This window comes from Homo sapiens, chromosome 11 (assembly GCF_000001405.40).
Source record: "Homo sapiens chromosome 11, GRCh38.p14 Primary Assembly".
Taxonomy (NCBI): Eukaryota; Metazoa; Chordata; class Mammalia; order Primates; family Hominidae; genus Homo; species Homo sapiens.
Window position 1 is genome coordinate 92761775 of NC_000011.10, and position 22067 is coordinate 92783841.

Genomic DNA, 22067 nt, shown 5'->3' on the forward strand with positions numbered 1-22067 from the left:
TTAGAAGAAACACCCATAGGTTAACATGTAATAGCAAGAATAATTTTCTCCTTTCTGATCACATCATACTCTCTTTTTCAGGTGACTGTGACAGATGGTGGTCCCTCTCCAAAACAGTCAACCATTTGGGTGGTGGTTCAGGTTCTAGATGAAAATGACAACAAGCCCCAGTTCCCAGAGAAGGTCTACCAGATCAAGCTGCCAGAACGTGACCGAAAGAAGAGAGGAGAACCGATTTACAGGGCTTTTGCATTTGATAGAGATGAGGGCCCCAACGCAGAAATCTCCTACAGTATTGTGGATGGGAATGATGACGGAAAGTTCTTTATTGACCCTAAAACTGGGATGGTTTCTTCTAGAAAGCAGTTTACAGCAGGCAGTTATGACATCCTAACGGTAAGATCTTCCAAACTCCAGCAGCACAGCAGATGGGGGGAAGTGGTTATGTTCTTATTCAAGTATACTCCTTTGAGCAATAAATCTTTAGAGTAAAAAGTGAAGCCACACAGCTGTGGAAGGGTTCTTTCTGGGAGGCAAGTGCAGGTGAGAACTCTTGCCTGTTTCATTGATATTCTTAAATGACGAGACAATTTCCTTTGGTTGTGTCCTGTCAGCATTTTCCCCCATTCCCAGGCCACAGCCTGTTTCACCACATACTCAACCACTCTTTCTGCAGCCCTAAATCATCCTCAAAGTGCTGAACATAGATGCAAACTAGCGGTAGGGGAACAGCAGGGCAACACATCCTACCCACCACTGAACATATCTCTCAACATGTCCCCGAGACTTCCCATAGAAAACAACTTTTGAAATTATCAACAATGTGATAGAGCATGGATATAGCTGTGTAAATTGTGAGACACAAATCACAATGATGTTTATTCCATAAAAACTGAAAAAACTCAAGTATAAAGTGACTGAATTTTTTATTAAATTAGAAAAGTAAAAACAAGCACGGGCACCATGTCATGTAGAAACTTAAAGCTCCTGTATCTACAGTGCCAGTGTGCTCCCCTGATCCCAACCACTTTAGCCAGGTAGTACCTATTCCAGAAAGGCAGCTGGTATCCTTACGAGCAATGAGCATGGTCCAGGGTCCCAACAAAGTCACGGTGGTTCATGCCTGTAATCCCAGCACTTTGGGAGGCCGAGGCAGGCGGATCACTTGAGGTCAGGAGTTTGAGACCAGCCTGGCCAACATGGTAAAACCCCGTCTCTACCAAAAATATAAAAAATTAGCTGGGCATGGTGGTGTGTGCCTGTAATCCCAGCTGCTCAGGAGGCTGAAGCAGGAGAAACGCTTGAACCCGGGAGGCAGAGGTTGCAGTGAGCCAAGACCACGCCACTGCACTCCAGCCCGGGTGACAGAGCAAGACTCTGTCTCAAAAAAAAAAAAGGCACCATCCACCACTCTTTTCTTTGTCTTTATCCTTCTCTGCTAGGTCTGTCCTTTATTATTTTAAACGATGGCCTGAGTCCCTTGATTTATCCTTTCTCTCCTGTGGTCTAGACGTGGGCTCCTTGCTGTGCTCGGTTATGTGTCCAGAACAGTGGGCAGAGAAAAAAAATATAGTAAAACACCAGCTCTGTATCTACTGTTAGAAGCTCTGATGTGCTGTGTGCCATTGCAGCTATGTGAGACTTGCAGTTTGGGAATCTGAGGACTGGATAGATTCAAGTGGATACTGTTGGTGTCCTGCCCCAATCCCATTCTCAGACTGCAAGTATTGGCTGTCAATGGCTCACAGCTGCCCTGTTCTCCAGAGAATCATCCTTGGATGATTCTTGGTGAAAGAGAGTCTACATTCCCAGCCTCCAGTCTAGCAGCCCACAGCCACTGGCTGACTGACACCCAGATGCAAAAGTCCAATCCCCTTGCCTCAAAGTGGATTCAATTCTGGTGCAATTAATGGTTCAGAGCTCCCCATGGGATCCCTCTGGTCAGCCAGGACCACATCCTGGTTTAACTCCTACCCTGCCCACCCTGATCTCTATTCTCTTTCTCCTGAGAGCACTTCCCCACCAAAAAAAACCATTTGTACTCAAATGCCTGTCTTAGCTCCTGGGGGAACCTGGCTTAAGACATGTATCCTCAAGTTTTCTCACCCCGCAGGGAGTTTCTAGGGCAAAGCAATCATCCATGAACACATAGCATGAGGGTGCTATGCATTGTCACTGTTTCGAAGGGCTATAGCTATCAGTTATGTTCCTATAAATGTTATTTTTTAAATGTAATACTTGAAAGTCCTTTTAAAAATTTATTTTTATTTTTGTTTTGCTTTGGCTTTTGCTTCTTGAAGCTTTTGACCCTCCCATTTGAGTCCAGGGTTCACCTGGACTCTTCACCCTGCCCAGCTGGGGAGGGAGACTTGCTTCCTCAGCCCTTATATCAGCTAATTGTGACCACAGAGGAGAGTCATTAGCCCTGTCTTCCCTTCCACGCTGCCTCCAGGGACTGTGCTATCGAGAGAGTTCTCTGTTACCTTTTTGCAGGTGGCAAAACTGAAGGGCCTCAAGGCAGCTAGCTCCAGGCTGCTCCCTTTCCCAGCCCACTCTATCTTGCTCCTGGGATCCTGTGCTGCTATCAATCACATATAGCAGAAGGGAGGAGCTGCGAAACACAACCACACACTGCAAAACACAACCACACACATACACATGCACACACACACTTCTGCACGTATCATTCACACATATATAAGGTTTCACAATGCACTTTCTTCCCTTTCACATATCACCACCAGAGGTGAGGCTTAGGATCATGCTCTCAGGAATCAAATTAGCTATTTCTATTCATATAACTATTATTCAGGCCCACAAATCACCACAAACTGTAAGTGCAGCATTTGTCTTTCAAGGTCTCAATATCTGTAAAGTTGACTGTGGTCCAGAGAGCCTCTGGCAAACATGGTGCAAGGTCTGCACATGACTGGGTTGTTCCCCTCCATTCCCAAGTCTTTACTCCCCAGACCTCTGCTCCTTTCTTCCCCTTGCTGACACTGTGTTGAAGATGGACTCTTGGCCCAGCAACATGAGTGACAGATCCAAACTCTACAACAATCAGAGGTCTGAGACATCTTTCTCTTCTCTCCCTGTGTGAGTAGATAAAGGCAGTGGACAATGGGCGCCCACAGAAATCCTCCACGGCCCGCCTCCACATTGAATGGATTAAGAAACCACCCCCTTCACCTATACCATTGACCTTCGATGAGCCGTTTTATAACTTCACAGTCATGGAAAGTGATAGAGTGACTGAAATTGTAGGGGTGGTGTCTGTGCAGCCAGCTAACACCCCTCTGTGGTTTGACATAGTTGGTAAGTTCGAGTCTTACAGAGCAGTATCATGCAATGTAATAATTGACTGAAGCAACTAGGAAAAAAAAAAAAAAGAAAGAAAGCAAAAAACTAACAATTAGTGCCAAGATTAAAAGATGTATAGTGCTGGAATGCAAAAGAGCCAGTAAAGTGAATAATCGACCTGTGCTTTCGTTCCAACTCTGTAGCTAAGCTGAACCGAAAGTGCTCTCTGGCTGGATTTTCCATAGTACGTTATTTACTGCAATCTTAATGTCTTTCTGTGTGTCATTTAAATTCTATTGTCACACTTGGCTAATCTCATTTCTAAATGTATTGATGGTACTAGACTTGCTGTCCTTCATTTCTCTCTTTTTCTTCACCTTTTTTCTGCATTCTGTTCTTTTTTTTTTCTGCTCCCGACTGCCCTGCTTCAAGGTGGCAAGCATGCTCGAGAGATGTTCTATATTCTACAGACAGCTTGTGGGCAGAACTGTTCAACAGAAGGTACCCTTAGTGCAAACACATTTGCTAAAATACAGCTATCCAATCTGCCTTTTACGGTTTTTTTTTAAAGCAAATTGAATTACATCTTTCATAACTGCCTGTGACAGGCTGAAGTGCAGCCCACAGATTTCATATATGCCTCTAACAACTATTGCATTACTCGTATCCAATGACTTCTTTGTTTGAGGTTTGATAGGGTTTGGATTTTTTTTGAGGGGGGGGTTGTTTTGACTTTTATTTCTTTGCTTTTGAGGTATGTGGGCTTTTTGTTGTTTTGTTTTTATCTTTTTGTAGGTTGGTTTATTTAACTGGGCCTTTTCCAATGGAAAAAGAAATTAAAATGTATTTCAGCCCCTCTGTTTTGCAGCGGTAGTACCATTCATGCACCAAAAGCCCCATCAGGAGAGTCCCCTGGCTGTCGTCCATAAGAGGAAGGGCAGGAAATGGAACCTAGATATATAGCCAGTCAGCCTCCCCCGCAAGCCGAATAGAGGAAGCAGATGGAAGCATGCAGGATAGACCCTGGGAGCCAACCTTTAAATTCCTTGAAAGAAAGCAAGCAAGCACGCCAGGCTGCAAAAGGAAAGGGCAAAACAGCCCTATGGCCCTTGACAAACCAGCAGGGAGAGGCGCTGGAGAGGAAATGAGTGCCGAGGACCAGGAAACAAAACAGGCTGTTGCTAAAACAGAGGGGAGAGTGTGTGTCGCCCAATCCGACACTGGGTTGAGCTAAAGCTGACTTCCCACGCTTCTCTGTGGGAGGCAGGGGATCCAGGAGAGAGTCGGTCTGGGGGAATCATTTCCTTCCCCATGGCACTGCCTGGATAGGATGGGCAGGAACCTGCCTCTCCCCCCCAGGAATGGCTGTACTTGGGAAAAGCATTTAGAAAGTTCCACAGCGGTTTTAACAAGGCACAGAAAAAGAACGCCCCATGGCCCGCAGTCAAACCTCTATAGAGAGTCCTCTGAACTTCCAAAAAAGCAAAGAGCTGTTTTCTACGTGTTTCATTTGATGAAATGATGGTGGAACATTTTTGTTTTACTTACTTGGTATTAATCATGCCATCGTGTACATGGGCATCCTCACAGCAAGCTTTCACTTCTTTCTTCATTGCTACTCAACATATTTGAAATGAAACTTCTTCTGATCCATGAAAGGGGTCTCCATTTCTTTATCTTCTTAGTAATTTTCAGCTCATTAAGATATTATCTGATGCAGTTTCTTCTTTCTTGGCACCACAAAGGGTTGCACGTAGTCATGGTCTGGTTTTCTGTACAGTCACCTTTAATGATTTCTTCACTTCCACCCCCAGAGTCACAGAAAGTGCAATTCAGTTCTTACACGTGCCCTTAGTGCCAGGTGTCCAGAGACATGTGCAATAGTGATTTTTAGCCGGGCACAGTGGCTCACGCCTGTAATCTCAACACTTGGGGAGGCTGAGGTGGGTGGATCACTTGAGGTCAGAAGTTCGAGACCAACGTGTCCAACATGGCGAAACCCCATCTCTACTAAAAATACAAAAATTAGCTGGGCATGATGGCGGGCGCCTGTAATCCCAGCTACTGGGGAGGCTGAGGCAGGAGAATTGCTTGAACCCGGGAGGTGGAGGTTGCAGTGAGCCAAGATTGCATCACTGTACTCCAGCAGCCTGGGCAACAGAGCAAGACTCTGTCTCAAAAAAAAAAAAAAAAAGCCTAAAGGAGAATGCAGCAGAAACCGAATAGGCAACAGAATGTCTAGTGTGCTGTCCTGAGATTAGATGAGTTGCCCTTTCTCATCAGCCACTGATTTTTCTCCCTCCTCCTTGAACACTCCAGTGTCCAAGCACCTCTACAGCCTGACAGTGTCACATCTCTCCCTGGCATGATCCATGCACTCAACCTGCTGACCCGTAGTACATCCCACCTACCACCCATGTGCCCTGGGATGCCCTCACTTGTACTCTGCTTTTGAAATCCTACTGGCATGCCTTTCTGTAATGGTCAGTCTCACCAGCTGCCTGACCCTAGTTATCCAGGTCAGGCTTGCAACTCTTCATCATTCCTGCATGTGTGTGTGTGACTGTCTGTAGGTAAGCATACCTAGCAGTACTGCATGTAACCTGATTTGCAAGTTTCTCATGTCAGCATGATGAGTGCTGCTGTATGTTTTCATTTGTGCTTATCCTGTCTCCACTCTTAACCCCTATGGTTAAGGCCCATGTGTCCTCATTCCTTCCTCCTGCCAAAACCTCTGTTGCTACCAACCCAGGATGAGTGGAATAAACTATGGTGAATGATGGAGATACCCCAGGCAGCCACTATGCTAACCCTACTGATGCCTCCTGGAACCTACTCAGAGTCAGTGTGACCTTCCACTGTGCTACTGGCCACGGCAACCTACACACTATGCACCTTTGACAAAATAGAAACATCATTGGTCCAAGAAGAGAGAGGCAGTTTACAGATGAGAGCTCTCCCTGGAAGGAGTCCCTTTAAGCTACCTTAAATATAGACCCAGGATCCATCATCAAGAACATGGCATCAGTTTTCATGTTTCTTCATTGGTGTATTTCTAAATGCTATACTTTTCCTAGAGACTGCCTTCAGTTTCAGTGCACTTGTAGGTCTCTGAATGAGGACCTACAGGGTTGTCCCTCTGGTCTGGATGCTTCCATCACAGAGATTTCACTGTAAATCAGGTAACATCTAGCCAAGCTTCTTTTCCAAATTGAACTTACTGGGCCAGATGCCCAAACAGAACATGATTTTATTTCCATCCCCACATCCAGCCAACAACATCTTGAAACACCAAATCTTTATTTCAGCGCAGAAGTAAAATCCTTTTCCCAGGTGCTGGTTACTTCAGTATTGATATGGTCCACGTTCCACCAAATCCTCCTTTTGAAAATCTTTCTAATCCATCAGAGTCATTTTTTCTCAATCTGCTGACAACATCTTTCCCCTTCTTTAAATACCTATTGTTTCCTTTATCATATTCAGATGTTTTAGTCTCGCTCTCAAGATTTCCTGCTTATTTATCTTCAGCCATGGAAACTCTCATCTCTCTGTTCCCTTCCTCCTTACGTAAGCATCTTTTTTGGCCAAGCTAACATACAGAGGAAAGAGGGAACAATGCGCCTCAATGCTTAAGAAACATAGCAGTGAATGCCTGGAATAGGCACTAGGTATGTAATATCAGCATGGATCTGAAATGAGGTCTCAGATATAAGTATGGGCCTTGCCTAGGTAAATACTCTATGACTCTTCCAAGGGAGTGAGAATTTGGCTCCATTAATAGACCCAGTGCTTGCAGACACCTAAAGAGACACTGAGTTACAGAGAAGACATCATCTTGGCATGACACTTACAGCTTACTAATGCTATAACTAATAAATTCTCATTAAGTGAGCAGAAATAGTGTTTCAGCATGCTTTTCCCCTGAGAGTAAAGTCGCCCCATTTCTGCATTTCCAAATCTAGCCAATTCTTGCTTAACTGCATTTCTTTGTCTCCCACCATGATATGAATTCACAAAAGCTGGGTAGCAAGCAAGATTTTGTTCCAAGCCTGGACCCTTGCATCGAGGATCTGTCACACACTTTCTTGTGCCTCCAAGGAGACCACTGCTTACAATATTATGCAGTGAGACTTTTCAGCTTCCAGAAACAGAAGCCCTACTTGTAACTGAGTTAAGAAAGCTGTAATTAAAAGGAAACATAATAAAGTTCAGCTGTTCTGTGTTTAAACAGCCCAACGCACAGCATGTTCCTTCTCTGTGTTAAAAGGGAAAGAAAGTGAAGGGAACACAAATAACCCATAATCCTTTGTGGCTTTATCACATATCTTCACACTTCTCAGGGGACTATGATTTCAACTCCACAGCTCCTTGATTTACAGACTCTCTAATGTGCATGCAATCTGGTTCACAGTTCAGTCCCTGTATCTTTATTCTGTTGGCAAATATTTCAATAGAGAAGGCCACCTTTATTACACACCTCAGACAGTTCCTCTTTACCTGCAGATGGATGGGGGGTGCTGTCACCCATTTTTTAGCTTTTCACCTGACTTAGGGGAGAAAAATAGTTTTCTTTGTAAATAGTAAGCACCTAAAATATCTTTCTTTATCTCGCCTACTGTAAGGCTGCTCTTTGAAAATGTTTCTCTGTTGGTGAGTGATAGAACGTAGTTCCAACTCCAGTTGAAATGTCTTTCTGTGTTGCAGGAAGGCTGCTTTGACCCTTCATTTGTCATAGGTTCCTTCAAACTTTGGGCTCCAGGCTGCTGCTGTGTCATAAGCTTTTGCCTGTCTTTCTTGAACCTTGTCCCCAGTGGAGCCATCGCTTATTTAGAGATGAATGAAGTAGGCCCATTGAAGTCTCTGGTAGGACTAGCAGCAGCCTTGTTCTTCAACTAGAGCTTGGACACCTCTGGGTCTTCCCTAATCAGGTGGCTGTATTTCTCTAGCGAAAGACTCTTACCCAGTGATATGGAGAGAAACCATATTCATACGTCATTTCTATTACAGCTGCTCCTTCATCAGGGTGACCCTTGCTCCAAGTCATTCAACTGACATCAAACACTTCATTTCCCCTATTCTGCCCCTTTTCCCTAATTTGATCCCAAATAAGCCTCTCATTTTTCCATAGCAACAGTCTGGTCCATAGGAGCACATCTGTAGAAACTTCAGGAAAATAAGAAGAAGCCTAGAAACACTTCATATACTATTAATAGTTTTAAGAAAATGAATCCTAAACTCGATTCTAGAAGAGATTTTCTTTCCAGCCACTTTTTCCTGACCTCCACCTGGTGTCCCCTGTCTTCCAAGTAAATATCCTTTTCAGCCAGGTACTGTGCTTGCTTTCATTTCAAGGCAGAAAATTAGGGGAAAATGATAATTGGTGTTTAGCATTTTCAAGATCAAATTGTAACTGGTGTTTAGCATTTTTTCTTAAGTTCGGTGTACATGCGGAACCTGAATCAACAGCTTGTGCACAACTCCCTGAATTCATTGAGGTTCGGCAGCTCCGTGTTCTGGAAGCTGCTCACATAACACCTTCCCCTTGGTGACAACTAGATGTGGGTTGGTATTTTTACAATTATATGTGGAGTGGAAAAGAATCATATGCTAGGGGAGGGACCTGGAAGCTCTCTAAAGGGGAAGCTGTGTGATTCTCACCATTGGGTGTCTTTACGGAGGGACAGAGGTGCTTCGTACCCTTCTTTAAAGAAAAACTAGACTGAATCACGGCCCAGTGCTCCAATGCCCAGCATATTTAAGCAGTAGCTGCTGGCTCAAAATATTTCCATTTATGTCCCATCTTTAAAGCCTTTTGGGACATTCCTACTTGGGATGTTTAACTTTAGAATCCAATAGAAATCCATTGTGCCTCATCTGCTCTTTGTTTACTCTATTACACCTGTCTTGACCGAAAATGGTCAAAGAGACACATCCCTGATGTGAATTATCTGTTATGTGGGCTGTTCACAACCTCGCTTTTAACCATCTCTGCCGCACACCCCTGCAGCAACGCTCAGGCTGTGGCTTTTCTAATTTCCCATTTTGTTGAAACTCAGACCAGCTCTGCGGTGTCCTCCCTCCTCCCCACCTTTTGTTGAGCCTAACGCTGCTGCACTGAACACACTCTGGCTTTGCATGTTCTGTTACTGGCTCTGAGGAAGCACACCTTGTTTAAGCGGAATGCTGCTAGTGAAAATGGACTCCTTGCATTTGATATTCTCACCCTGGACGATTTGGACGTGGTTTCCTATGAAACTGAAATCACTTTCAGGCTAAAAGGGAGCCTGAAAAATGAGACCTGGGGGAGAGATATGGAGTCGTTTATGAAATGGGATGCTTAAGTGGTAGGTTATTAAATTGTGTGAGGGTTGATGGTAAACTGCTGGTCTGGATTCTGTGTCCCTTGTCAGAAATTCATTTTAAAACTCATGGAAGATTTTGTTTTACATTAAATCTTAGTTTAACTAGGAGCAAATGTCCTGGAAATGAGTGTCCGAGGCTGCTAGCTATATTGGTAAGCTGAGAGACATAGTTTGTAGGCTCTCCTTCAAATGCTCTTGGCTCTGCTCTTGGTCTGTCTCCCCTGTCCCTTTAGAGGTTTCTGTTCTAAAGAATTTGAGGGAGATATACACATACACATACACATACAAATACATATATGAACACACACAGGAAGAGAGAGAACTGTAAAAAAAAAAAAAACATAAAATTAGCCAAAAATGGTATTTGATATGAAAAACGACTAAGAAAAAGCACACACTCTATATGCCATATGTAAATGTTATACCACTAAGCACGTGCGATGATTATGTATTTTTATACAGGGCCCTGGGGAAAATGTGAGTCAAATTCAGTGAGAGAGAGCAAATTGGACTGCCCCATTTAAACAGTAACTCAAACTGGAATCTATGCTTGCTGGTTCTCTAAATTTTATTTTTAATCATCTTTAAACTGGAGCAAACTAAAGTTTTATAATTTGCATAATCTTTATTTTGACTTGACTCACACATTTTCACATTTTAAAATGATCAACATTAGAGGATGACTCCTTCCCCCACCTCCAAATAATATCATGACCCAAAGATTTAAGAAAGTTAACATTTTGGTAAAGAAAACATTCTAAATGTGATTTAAAATGGGATTTAATACCCACTAGAAACAACCTGAGAAGTTACATTCTCATCTTTCCTTCCATACAGGACTTATGAGGCAATTTTATGTCCTTTCTTTGAAAGTTTCCATGGCAAATTTTTTCTCAGAATGTACCGCTTAATAGCAAATGATCATGTTTTTTTTCTCTTTTGCTCATGAAGATGGTTTTTCAAGACACTCAAATCAGCCTTCCATTTTATTTCATGTTGTTATCAACATGAAACATTCCCTTTGAATAAGAAATGGTGACCTAAGGCTTGCTTCCCTTTTCAGCCTAGACTCCCCCCTCTCTCCTTATCCTATCTTCAAACAATTTTTTTGGAGTTAATATTTAGTGCTCCTCATCAAATCAATTAAAGATATTAATTGGAAGATGAGTCTCTTTTTAGATGAAATTTTTTAAAAAGTATATAATCTCCAAGCAATTCTCTGATACTCTCGTATCTCCGTAACTTTAATTAAATGTCAAGGGCAATTATATTCTCTCTTGCAATTAAATAATCTTAAGTGTATATGACAGCTGCAAGCAATAAGTATTTGAAATATATATATGACCAGGTTTTTTTTAAGTAAACCATATTATTTATTCCATGTCATTGTACATCAGATTCTAGTAATTCAGGTAAAATTCTCCTTCCCTTAACTGACTATTCGTAACTGTTATATAAAAGTAATATATTGTTCATTGATCAGCAAAATGAAATGCAAAGATGTGGAATGTAAAAATAAACCAAAGTTAGTTTTCTAAAATATGAAATTCAATAAATACATTGCCCTATATGCTGTAGTTAAATAAAATTACTGTCTGAGAACAAAATCAACACCATGAAATTTCAGGCCAAAAGAAATAGAGCTTGTGAACATACACTCATGCTTAATTAAAATTGTTCCCACATACATACCATTATTTTTCTCCCCCTCAAAAAAATCTTTCATTTTGGGAAGATCATAAACCACACTTTGGTTCCCAGAGGTAGAAACATCAGCAGTGATTTCAACAATGGCAGTGTTGTCTTAAGCAAATCACTCACAGACTGTGAGTTATATGTGGCCAGGGGGTTGAGAGGAAAGTAAAGTTTTCTAAACTTCCATGTAAATTGTTTTGTAATTTGGTGTTATATAAGCTGATGTTTTCTTCTACTTCTTTCCCAATTTTATTTTGTGACTTTCCCTAGGCTTTCTGCCTTTTTAGGAGAAAAATAATTTACACTACCAAGATGGCAAAATAAGTATTTCTATAAATATCCCAGCTTGCAGATATAGAATTTTTAATATGAAATTTTTTTGCTTTTTTTTACTGTTTAGAATTCATAATTTTATTTCTGACGTTTAATTAAGGGAATCTGAATTCTAGCAGCCAAATGTTTACCATCAATCCTGGAATAGATTTTAAATGTCTACTCATTCTATTAATAATAATTGGACTATTTATTTACTTGGAATTTAATCTACTTTGGAAAAAACAAAAAGATCTACAAATTTCTAATGCAGAAGCCACAAGAAGTTGAAGGGCCTTTAGGTTTCTAAATATTTAATGGAGTCAGTTTATGCTTCACTACTCTAACATTACTGCTGAGGTTTTTCTTTGCACTACATTCCTTTTTTGTGACATTTGTTATGCATTGTAGAGGCTGTGTTTTGAACTATGAATCAAGTTAGAAATAAAGAGGTCCCATTTAAGATGTACAAAATTGAGCCATAGGGATGCCTGTCAAAAAAAATTTCTGTATAAGAGCTCCCTTTAAAGATATATGATATAATGCATGTAACAAGTTATCAGATTTGCTAATTTCATGTTTCTGTGAAATCATCAGGGGGGAATTTTGACAGCGCTTTTGATGCAGAGAAGGGTGTTGGGACAATTGTCATCGCAAAACCTTTGGATGCAGAGCAGAGGTCCATCTATAATATGAGTGTGGAAGTCACCGATGGGACAAATGTTGCTGTTACTCAGGTGAGATGTTAAATTACTGAATAGCAGGAATGCTGAAAGAGCTGCCAAAGTCAGGGGTGCAAGCAATGAAAAAAAAATGTAATGGAAGTAGTAAATTATGTCGACGGTTTTCTAGTGTTTAAAAAAATCATTTTCAAGAACAAGTGAGAAAAGGGATTCTATAGATGATATCATAGGACTTAGCTGCCGCTTTCAAGAAGTTGTGATTGATCATGCATGGAAAAATAATGCGTGTTTCTTTCCTGATCATCTACTGTAGATTTATCTGTTTGACAATAAAGTCAACTTTCCTTGAATTTACAAAGAGGAGGACATCTATATTGCTTGAGTTAACACACCATGTTATTCTTTACCTCCTCATTTTTTTTAGTCACAGAAAGTTATAGCTAAAGAATACCTAAGAGTCCAAATTCATTTATAGACTTAGATAAGCTAAGTGATGTATCCAAGGTCACACAGCCTTAGTAAAGAAAAAGGACTGGGATCTAGGTGTCCTGACTCTCTTCTGCCATTCTAGCCTCTTTGTCCTTGCTGTCTGTATAGTAGAACCCCCTGGTTGTGGGGAGAGGTTAAAAGCACCCGTGGCTGGACCCCAGCCACAGAAATCCTGTGTGATTCTGACATGCAGCCAGGGTCGAGGACCGCTCCTTATACTTTGCAACCTAAGCGCATGTGAAAGGGCATTGAGAGCAGGAGGAAAAGAAAATCTTTGGGCTTCTCATGTGGCTTAGTACATCTTTCTGAGACTAGCACAATGTTAGATAACAATATGGGGCAGACCTGTACTAAATATGAGAAGATTTTTTTTTCTTATTTTTTAGCACCAGAGACCTAAGCCAGTTATGGCAGAGAGCTGGCACACATGCATATGCTGTAACCCCTCTCTTAGTCCCTACTGCGCTCTGAGATTCCCCTAACCCCAGAAGGCATCACTAATTCATCAAGGCCCATTTTTCTGCTGAGCCCAGATATGTCCTTAGAGTGTTTCTGAACACAGTGCTTCAGGTGGTGAAGGTGAAATTTTTGCCAACCCTGAAGCAAGCAAGTCTTGATTCATCTTAAATATGATGTAAGCATTTGCAACTATGTTGTTTTATAAAGGAGAGAGGATGAATATTTCATGTGTTTGCCTAGCCAGCTGCCTCTTAGTTTGAGACTATTTGAAAAATATAATGCAACTCTTTTCTTTGAATCTGTTTATAATCATAGAATGGTAGAATTTGAAGAAAACAATAGGGTTCACTTTAGTACAACTCCTTTACTTTTCATTTGAATAAACTGAAACCTTAGAAAGGGGAAGTGACTTGCATATAATACGGGAGCCAGTGTGAGACAATTTCTGATCCTCCAACCTGTGTCCTTTCCCAGTAACTAGGATGATCATATGACTCTGTTTGCCTTAAAGAGTCCCATTTATGTCTGTGGAATTGGCATAATTATTCTCCTTCCCTTAACTGACTATTAATAATTGTTATATAAAAGTAATATATTGTTCATTGATCAGCAAAATGAAATGCAAAGAATGTGGAATGTAAAAATAAACCAAAATTAGTTTTCTAAAATATGAAATTCAGTAAATACAGCCACAGAAATCCTATGTGATTCTGACATGCAGCCAGGGTCGAGGACCCCATTAACTCTCAAAATTGCCCCATTTGGGATGATAAATTATATGGTCACCCTATCGAAAATCATACTGTTTCCGGGTATTTTCAAGGCTGAAATATAGACACATGGAAAGAACCCATGGCTGAGGTGTTACGAGAACCACACAGTCCAAAAGCGCACCCCCAAAGACTAATACAAAACAACCCACCTGCTGTATTGCTGTCTTAAGTGTTAATTCATTATAAATGTGAATTTAAGTTTTAAAAATTAGCCTTGTCTTAGCATATTCAACCTTGACTTCTTAGTGCCACTTAAAAACATGACATATTTGAGTAAAATACAAATAAAGCATGAAACCGTATTCATTTCCAGACTTTTCTCCAGAGTTTCATACCAGTTGAATTAAATGGTATTCAGTGTGCCCAGAATACAATTATGGATATTTTAAAAATTGAATATTTTTAGAACAAGTGAATGAATAGTAGATACATATTCAGCAGAGTCTATGCAGCAGATATGCTGGATCTCCAAAGCACAAAACTGATTCATGTTAAAAACAACAACAAAAATTATCAATGATACTTTTACTTTAGAATTTTATTAGAACCAGATGAGAAATCATTTAACAGCGTTTGTTCCACAAATATCTTTAGAGTTCACACCATAGGCTAGGAGCAGTTCTAGATGCTAAGTACTAAGGTCACAGTGATTCACAGTTTTAAATCCAGGTGACTGACATGCATTCATTTTTTTCAAGTTAATATGGAAACATGTATTACAAGACTTTGAATGTACACACTCTTTGAGTCCTGTTTTTGTTTATTTTATTTGTGGCTAGTATACAGTTAGGCTTATCTCCAGGGCTGTTTAGAATTAGTTAGAGAATTAGGTGAACTTTGAGGCACCTTTTGGTAGGGCCAAGATAAGGAAGTTAATGAAGGGTGCCAAGAGATTTTCTTGTCTAAAGTATTCAAGTCACTCTGTGTCTCCAGAGTCATGACCTTTTTATGAAGTGGGAACTAAGAGTTTCCAAAGTACATACTTGTATGTCATTGGTATTGCCATCAGGAAGTCATTACTCTGTCTGCTGAGCTATCTTAGGGCCTGACCACCTCACCAGCCCCTGCCAATCCAGGCCTCTCTCACACTTACCACGGCTTTCCCAGCAGTGGTGGCAGGAATGCTTCTCTGAATTAGTCAGCACCCTCCGTGTCAAGAACACTTTTACAAAAGGACATTTTGGGAAATAAAAGGCATTCTGAATTTCTTTTGGAAACCATGAAAGCATGTTCCCATGCATGACGCTGGGCAACTTAATGATTCTACCATCAAACAGATAACCTTCACCATATAACTAAATAAATGTCCTGTAGCCCCAAAACACCTGTTTAGTTTTCCTTTGGGAACTTTTCTCTGCTTTGTTCATTTGGAATCATAAAACATGATATGACATGGGGTTCAAGTCATCCATAAACAACATGTTGAACTTGGCTTCACAAATGTCAAATAAATCAGATCCTCAGTGATTCTGTATCTACATGAAAACCCTTCCCTCACCTTCAGTTTTGTCCTATTCTCCCAACTCTCACAGGATTCATGTGCCTCAGAGCTACAATATCTAATGACACACATCCTTTTCTTTCCTGAGATTCCTTAGGGTGAGCACAAAACATAAGAAGGTCCTGTGGGTTTTAAGTTGTAAAGATTCCAATGAACTAAACGCAAGAACAAAGCATCCCAACACTGACAAAAACCTCCTAGCAAGATGGACAAGGGCCTCTGCATAAACTAGTTCTTTATTTTGTAAGGGATATTATTATACTTTTTATAATACAATGTTAGTATTTGGCAACATGGGCTTTGTAGCAGGTAATTTTGCATCCCAATCTCAACTCTGTCACGAAACAGATGAGTCACCTCAAGCAAGCCACCTAACTTCTCCGCACCCTAGTCTTCTTGTTTGGAGGTGCCAATACCTACAACATGGCAGTTGCTATGAGGATTACATGAGTTTATGAATGCAGAGTATCAGCATGAGGTCTAACTGTAGTAAGAATTCAGTTAATATTAGCTACTGCTGCTATTATTATTATTCCTATCATCTGTTAGCTTCTCTGAGGCAAACATGGGGTTTGCCTCACATGTTGCTGTGAGAAATGAGTCTATGTTGGATCTTCCACTTCATCAGAGACATCAGAGCCCTGTCTCTGATGAAGTGGAAGATCCAGTGGCTGCATCCCCATCCTTTAGTGAGGACTATTCTGGATACTTTCTGACTTATCCTGGGGTGGAAAGTGCAAGACAGTGCCTTAAGGCACCCTCGGTGCACATGAGGTAGAATTTGTCAAGGGCTCTGTGGCCACACCAGGCCAAAGGTATCTTAGTGGGTTTTTCCCAGTTCCTCATGTGCCATCCCAGGATGGCCGCCTTTAGTGGCTCTTTGATAGTCTTCTCTTTGCCTAAAACCAACTGGCATTTTTTAGTGCTTGCCATGTCCCAAGAATTATCCCAAGTTTTAAAAGCTTACCCATTCTCTACACTACTAATGTTGTGGAATGATAGCAGATAGTCCATTAACTGACACCAGAATTAGCATTTCCCTGGACTAAAGAATGACTAATGTTCACTGGAGTGATTTTAAACCAGCACCCTGATGCCTTCTTATCCAGACCCCTGCCCCACTTCAAATCCTGCTGTCTCTAACAAACCCGTGCAAATCAGGACCTAATTGTACAAACAACTTAAACCTTCCAAAACAGTTTGAGTTCCTAAGAGGTCCTTGAAGCCCATGAACTTGTTAATAAATTTTGGCATGTGTATATGTTTTTCTAGAGAGAAAGTCCATAATTTTCATCAGATGTTCAAATGGGTATGTGATCTAAAAATGGTTAAGATAAACTAACTCCTTAACACTTTTTTTTCAGCCAGTAACTCTAGTTAAAAATTTCAGCATGCAGCCCCCGACACTCCCTGGGAAACATATGCACACACCTGGGGGGATCATTGTCCTCTGAAGGCTCCCCAGCTCTGTCACCGGGCTGCCATGGTGTTTCAAAGCACTATTGTTCTGGGTTAAGAAAGACTGTCCACCAAAGCCTTGGACAGCAAACAGGAGATTCACTCTCTTTGAGAATTTTTTTTAAAAAATAGGAAGATTCTGTGGGAGAAAGGGGTACTACCAGTCTTAAACATTACAGAAGTGTTCCTCATGTTAATGTCTTAGAAGCTCAGAGATGAGTGAGGATGTCTGAAGGGTTTCTGGCACAGGGGGATGAAAAGGTTGAAGGAATCGGTACTGTATCTGCTTGGAAAAGAGTTGAGGAATCACAAGGAGCATTGGCTGTTATGAGCAAGGGAGGAATAGAGAGTATCCAGGTAGAAACAGAGACCCATAAGGAGCAGGAATAATGAAATGCCTAGGAGGATGGGGTTATCGTCCCTCCAAACATAAAGTAGCACTACGAAGCCATTTTAAGAGGAATTCTACCCATAGTGCCCAGACTGTGGTATTTACATACCGTTTACCTTGGAAAGGAGTCAGGATTCCTCATAGAAATGGATAATTGCAGGTTTGGGGCAGGAGCCTAGGGCATCTTTTCCTGCCAGAAAAGCCTACTGGAATCATGGTAAAGCATGACAAGAGGAGACTTAAATGGATTTCCACTGATCAAAGATGGGATAATATGAACATCAAAAAGAATAATGGGATGAGTATAACAGACTGAAACACATGAAATAGATTAAAAAAAACCCAAGTGTTTACATATATTTATCCTCAAAAATAAAATCATTTAACTCTTACAGTTACTCAGTGAAGCAGGTGCTATTTGTGGTAGGCAACAGAGCTCTCCTTCACTTCCCCAAGAAGATGTTCATGTTCTAATCTTTGGATTTGTGAATATGTTATGTTACATGGCAAATGGGACTTCGCAGATGTGATTAGGGTATAAATCTTAAGACACAGAGAGGATCCTGGAGTATCCAGTTAGGCCCAGTCGAATCACATGAGCCCTTAAGCAGAAGAAGAGAGGCAGCAAAAGGGTAAGTAAGAGATTCAAAATGTGAGAAGGACTTGAGACATCATTTCTAATTTGAATATGAAAGCAGCAACATGACAAGGAATTAACGCAGCCTTAAGGAGCTGAGAGAGACTCCCAGCTGACAGCCAGCAGGGAAACCAGGGGCCTCCGTTCTACAACCACAAGGAACTATATTCGGTCAAACAACCTGAATGATTTTGGGGCAGTCATCCCCAGAGCTTCCAGAAAGAAACACATCCATGCCAACCCTTGATTTCGGCCTTGAGTCCTCACCTACACAACTATGAGATAATCAGTGTTTTAAGCTTCTAAGTTTATGGTAACTTTTTTTTTTCTTTTTTTTTTTTTTCCAGGACAGGGTCTCACTCTGTCACCCTGGCTGGAGTGCAGTGGCACAATCACGACTCACGGTAGCCTGGACTTCCTGGGCTCAAACAATCCTCCCACCTCAAGCCTCCCAAGTAGCTGACACTATAGGCATGTACCACCACACCCAGATAATTTTTGTATTTTTTGTAGAGGTGGGTTTTTACCACGTTGCCCAAGCTGGTCTTGAACTCTTGGGCTTTAGTGACCTGCCTGCCTTGGCCTCCCAAAGTGCTAGGATTATAGATAGGCGTGAGGCACTGCACCCAGCCTATAGTAACTTTTTATGATACAAATAGAAAAATAACGTACTACTGTCATGCCCGTTTTACAGATAAGGAAAGAGAGGCAAAGCAAGGTTAAATAACTAGAGTAGATCAGGGTTTATATCCAGGTTCCAGATCCTGTTCTCTTAACCACTACACAATGCTGTCTCTTAAAAGCAAGATGAAAATTTTGATATCTGTTCTAATGCAGGAAAAGAAACTCACCTGGCCCTACTAGTTATGAAGGAGACACTCTTAAGATGGTGGCTTAGGGAACATGATGCCACCTGTGGCTGTCAGATTGTCTTATAGTCAGCCATTCAAAGAAGAGAGCAAAATACTTCAGCCTTCTCATAGCTCTAACTTCAACCCACTGAGCTTTTGGGCCCCAGAGACACACATTACCAAAAATGAGAAATTATGAATTTTAGCACCTTTCCCCATACATCTGCCAAATCAATCTGAGTTACTGCATCATCAGAGCAAGTTTAAATGAAACTAGAACATGGCTCTTTCAAAGAGTTAATGGATGAAAATACATAGTAATATATGATACCTGGTATTTATATAATAATTATTTAAGTAATAAGGTTCTTTTTTTTCTTTTCTTTATTCTTTTTTTTTTTTTTTTTGAGACAGAGTCTCACTCTGTCGCCCAGGCTGGAGTACAGTGGCACAATCTCGTCTCACTGCAACCTCCACCTCCCAGGTTCAAGCAATTCTCCTGCCCTCCTGCCTCAGGCTCCAGAGTAGCTGGGACTACAGGTGCATGCCACCACGCCCGGCTAGTTTTGTATTTTTAGTAGAGATGGGATTATCCCCATGTTGGCCAGGCTGGTCTCAAACTCCTGATCTCAAGTGATCCACCCGCCTTGGCCTCCCACCGAGCCACCGCGCCCGGCCATAAGGCTCATTCTTAAGCTTATTTTCCCTATAACTCTGGGATACTTAAATCAGGTGTTATCATTACACTCATTTCCAGTGAGAAATTGAGGCACAGACTGCTTAGGTGGCCTGCTTAGGTATACATAGGTAAAGAGATATAAACCTGCTTCTTCTCAAAATCATATACGAGTCCAGGAACATTTCCTACACATTTATATATATGAAATACACAATTTAACTCATTATTGAAATCATCTGGTATAATGAAAGGAGCACCAACTCAGAATTAGGCAACCCAAGTTCAAGTCAGCACTTAACCAACTGCTGTCTGTGTAACTACAGAAGGCAGTTCAGTCACTTTGAGACTCAGTTTCTTCAGCATAAAGAGAATAAAACTTTACATGCCTCATAAATTTTAAGATGAAATACGCTATTACAAGAAGATTCTTGGAATCTGTGATATGCTAGACACATACAGACTTTATTAATGTTTGTTTCTCAACTTAAAATTAGCTATAAAATATGTGTATGGCTATTATTGTTATTTATGAAAGACAGCAGAGACAGCCATGTCCAAATTATAATCTAAAAGTTACATTGATTTGATTCAGGGACTCATGTGATTTTGTGGTTTTAATGTTTTTCTTATTCAAGTAATCCTTTAGACTTATAAGGATAGGAAGGCCAGGCATGGTGGCTCACATATGAATCCCAACATTTTGGGAGGCTGAGACGGGAGGATCACTTGAGGCCAGGAATTCAACACTAGCCTGAATAACACAGCGAGAACTTATTTCTGCAATAATAATAATAATAATAATTTTTTAATTAGCCAGATGTGGTGGTCACGTGCATCTATAGTTTCAGCTACTCAAGTGGCTGAGGCAGAAGGATCACTTGAGCCCAAAGGTTCAAGGTTATAATAAGCTATGATCATGCCCTGAGACCCTGTCTCTAAAAAAATTAAAAGGCTGGGTACAGGGGTCATGCTTATAATCCCAACACTTTGGGAGGTCAAGGCAAGAGGATTGCTTGAGCCCAGGTGTTCCAGACCAGCCCAGTATTTACAAAAAATAAAAAAAACCAGACAGGTATGGTGGCACACACCTATAGTCCCAGCTACTTGGATGGCAGGATGATCCCCTGAGCCTGGGAGGTCGAGGCTGCAGTGAGCCATGATCACACCACTATACTCCAAAGACCCTGTCTCAAAAAGTAATTAATTAATTAAAATAAAATTTAAAAGATAGGAAAATCAGCTTGTATCTCTATGCTCCACAGCCAAACTTGAGATTAAAAAGCTCTTTCAGATAATCTCCAAAATTCTAAAGCCTCACAAAGGCAATTAATGAAATTGGCCAGTCTTTCTGCAAAACGACCTTCATGTATTGGGGCTGGGAGGGCTGTGACCTGAATTCCTAAGGTTAGTCTTGACCTTCAATGCTTTGAGGAGTTCATTCTTCCTCTCTCATCTCTAACTGCTGTGTTTGGAGTTTCTAATTGGCCTGCTTCCTTTAAAAGTAGGTTTTTACCTTGAAGATGTGGACTTTGTTTTATGGCCTCCCTTCATCCTGAACCTACTTAAAAGTGGAGAAGAAACAAATCACTTTTGCCAAAGCTGCTCTATGATTCACTAGAACAACAGACTCCCACAGGGCATCTCCCTCATCAGGGTTTTTCTTTCGTCTCCTTTTGTGTCATCTGCCTCTTGGCAGTGAAAAAGGCAGTGGCTTGCCGGGTGCAATGGCTCACGCCTGTAATCCCAACACTTAGGGAGGCCAAGGTGGGGAGATCACGAGGTCAGGAGTTCGAGACCAGCCTGGCCAACATAGTGAAACCCCTTCTCTACTAAAAATACAAAAATTAGCTGGGTGTGGTGGAATGCGCCTGTAGTGCCAGCTACTTGGGAGGCTGAGGTGAGAGAATCACTTGAATCTGGGAGGCAGAGGTTGCAGTAAGCCAAGACCACGCCATTGCACTCCAGCCTGGGTGACAGAGCAAGACTCCATCTCAAAAAAAAAAAAAAAAAAAAAAAGGCAGTGGCCTATACTTCCCTTGTGTATTTAGATTAGGAAAATGCTGGAACAACTACAAATGTATATAGATAAAATAAGGCAGCAAGCCAAATCTTAAAATGTAAGACTTTCTTTTTTAATTAAAAAAAAAAAAAAAAAGACACAGCAAGGTGTGGCAGCTTATGCCTGTAATCCCAACACTTTGGGAGGCCAAGGTGGAAGGATCACTTGAGGCTAGGAGTTTGAGACCAGCCTGGGTAACATAGCGAGGACTCATCTCTACAAAACAAAAAATTAGCCGGGCCTGGTGGTGCAGTCCAATTGTCCCAGCTACTTGGGAGGCTGAGGTGTGAGTCTGAAACTGCAGTGAGCCATGATTGTGCCACTGCGCTCCAGCCTAGGAGACAAAGGAAAACCCTGTCTCATAAAATAATAAAAATGAAATTTTACTGTATGTATAGATCTGGGCTTAACAACTTAT

General features: G+C 41.2%; 1 protein-coding gene across 11 annotated transcripts in view, besides 1 other annotated feature; it reads left to right on the plus strand.

Annotated features, from left to right (window-relative positions):
• FAT3 (FAT atypical cadherin 3) overlaps nt 1-22067 on the plus strand; it is a 671656-nt gene that overhangs the window by 536957 nt on the left and 112632 nt on the right. For 9 of the 11 annotated variants that reach the window (XM_017017179.3, XM_017017178.3, XM_017017180.2 and 6 more), the window contains 4 exons: nt 82-396; nt 3105-3315; nt 3733-3801; nt 12267-12406. In XM_017017179.3, the coding sequence (XP_016872668.1) occupies nt 82-396; nt 3105-3315; nt 3733-3801; nt 12267-12406 (735 nt within the window). The remainder of the gene's footprint in view (nt 1-81; nt 397-3104; nt 3316-3732; nt 3802-12266; nt 12407-22067) is intronic. The other 2 variants (NM_001367949.2, NM_001008781.3) reach the window with 1 other exon arrangement.
• Nucleotides 4109-4403: a silencer, noted in NCBI's record as "tiled region #7264; K562 Repressive non-DNase unmatched - State 24:Quies". NCBI's record gives its function as "represses a minimal TATA promoter and a strong SV40 promoter by Sharpr-MPRA in K562 cells {active_cell/tissue: K562}" and the evidence as "EXISTENCE:reporter gene assay evidence [ECO:0000049][PMID:27701403]".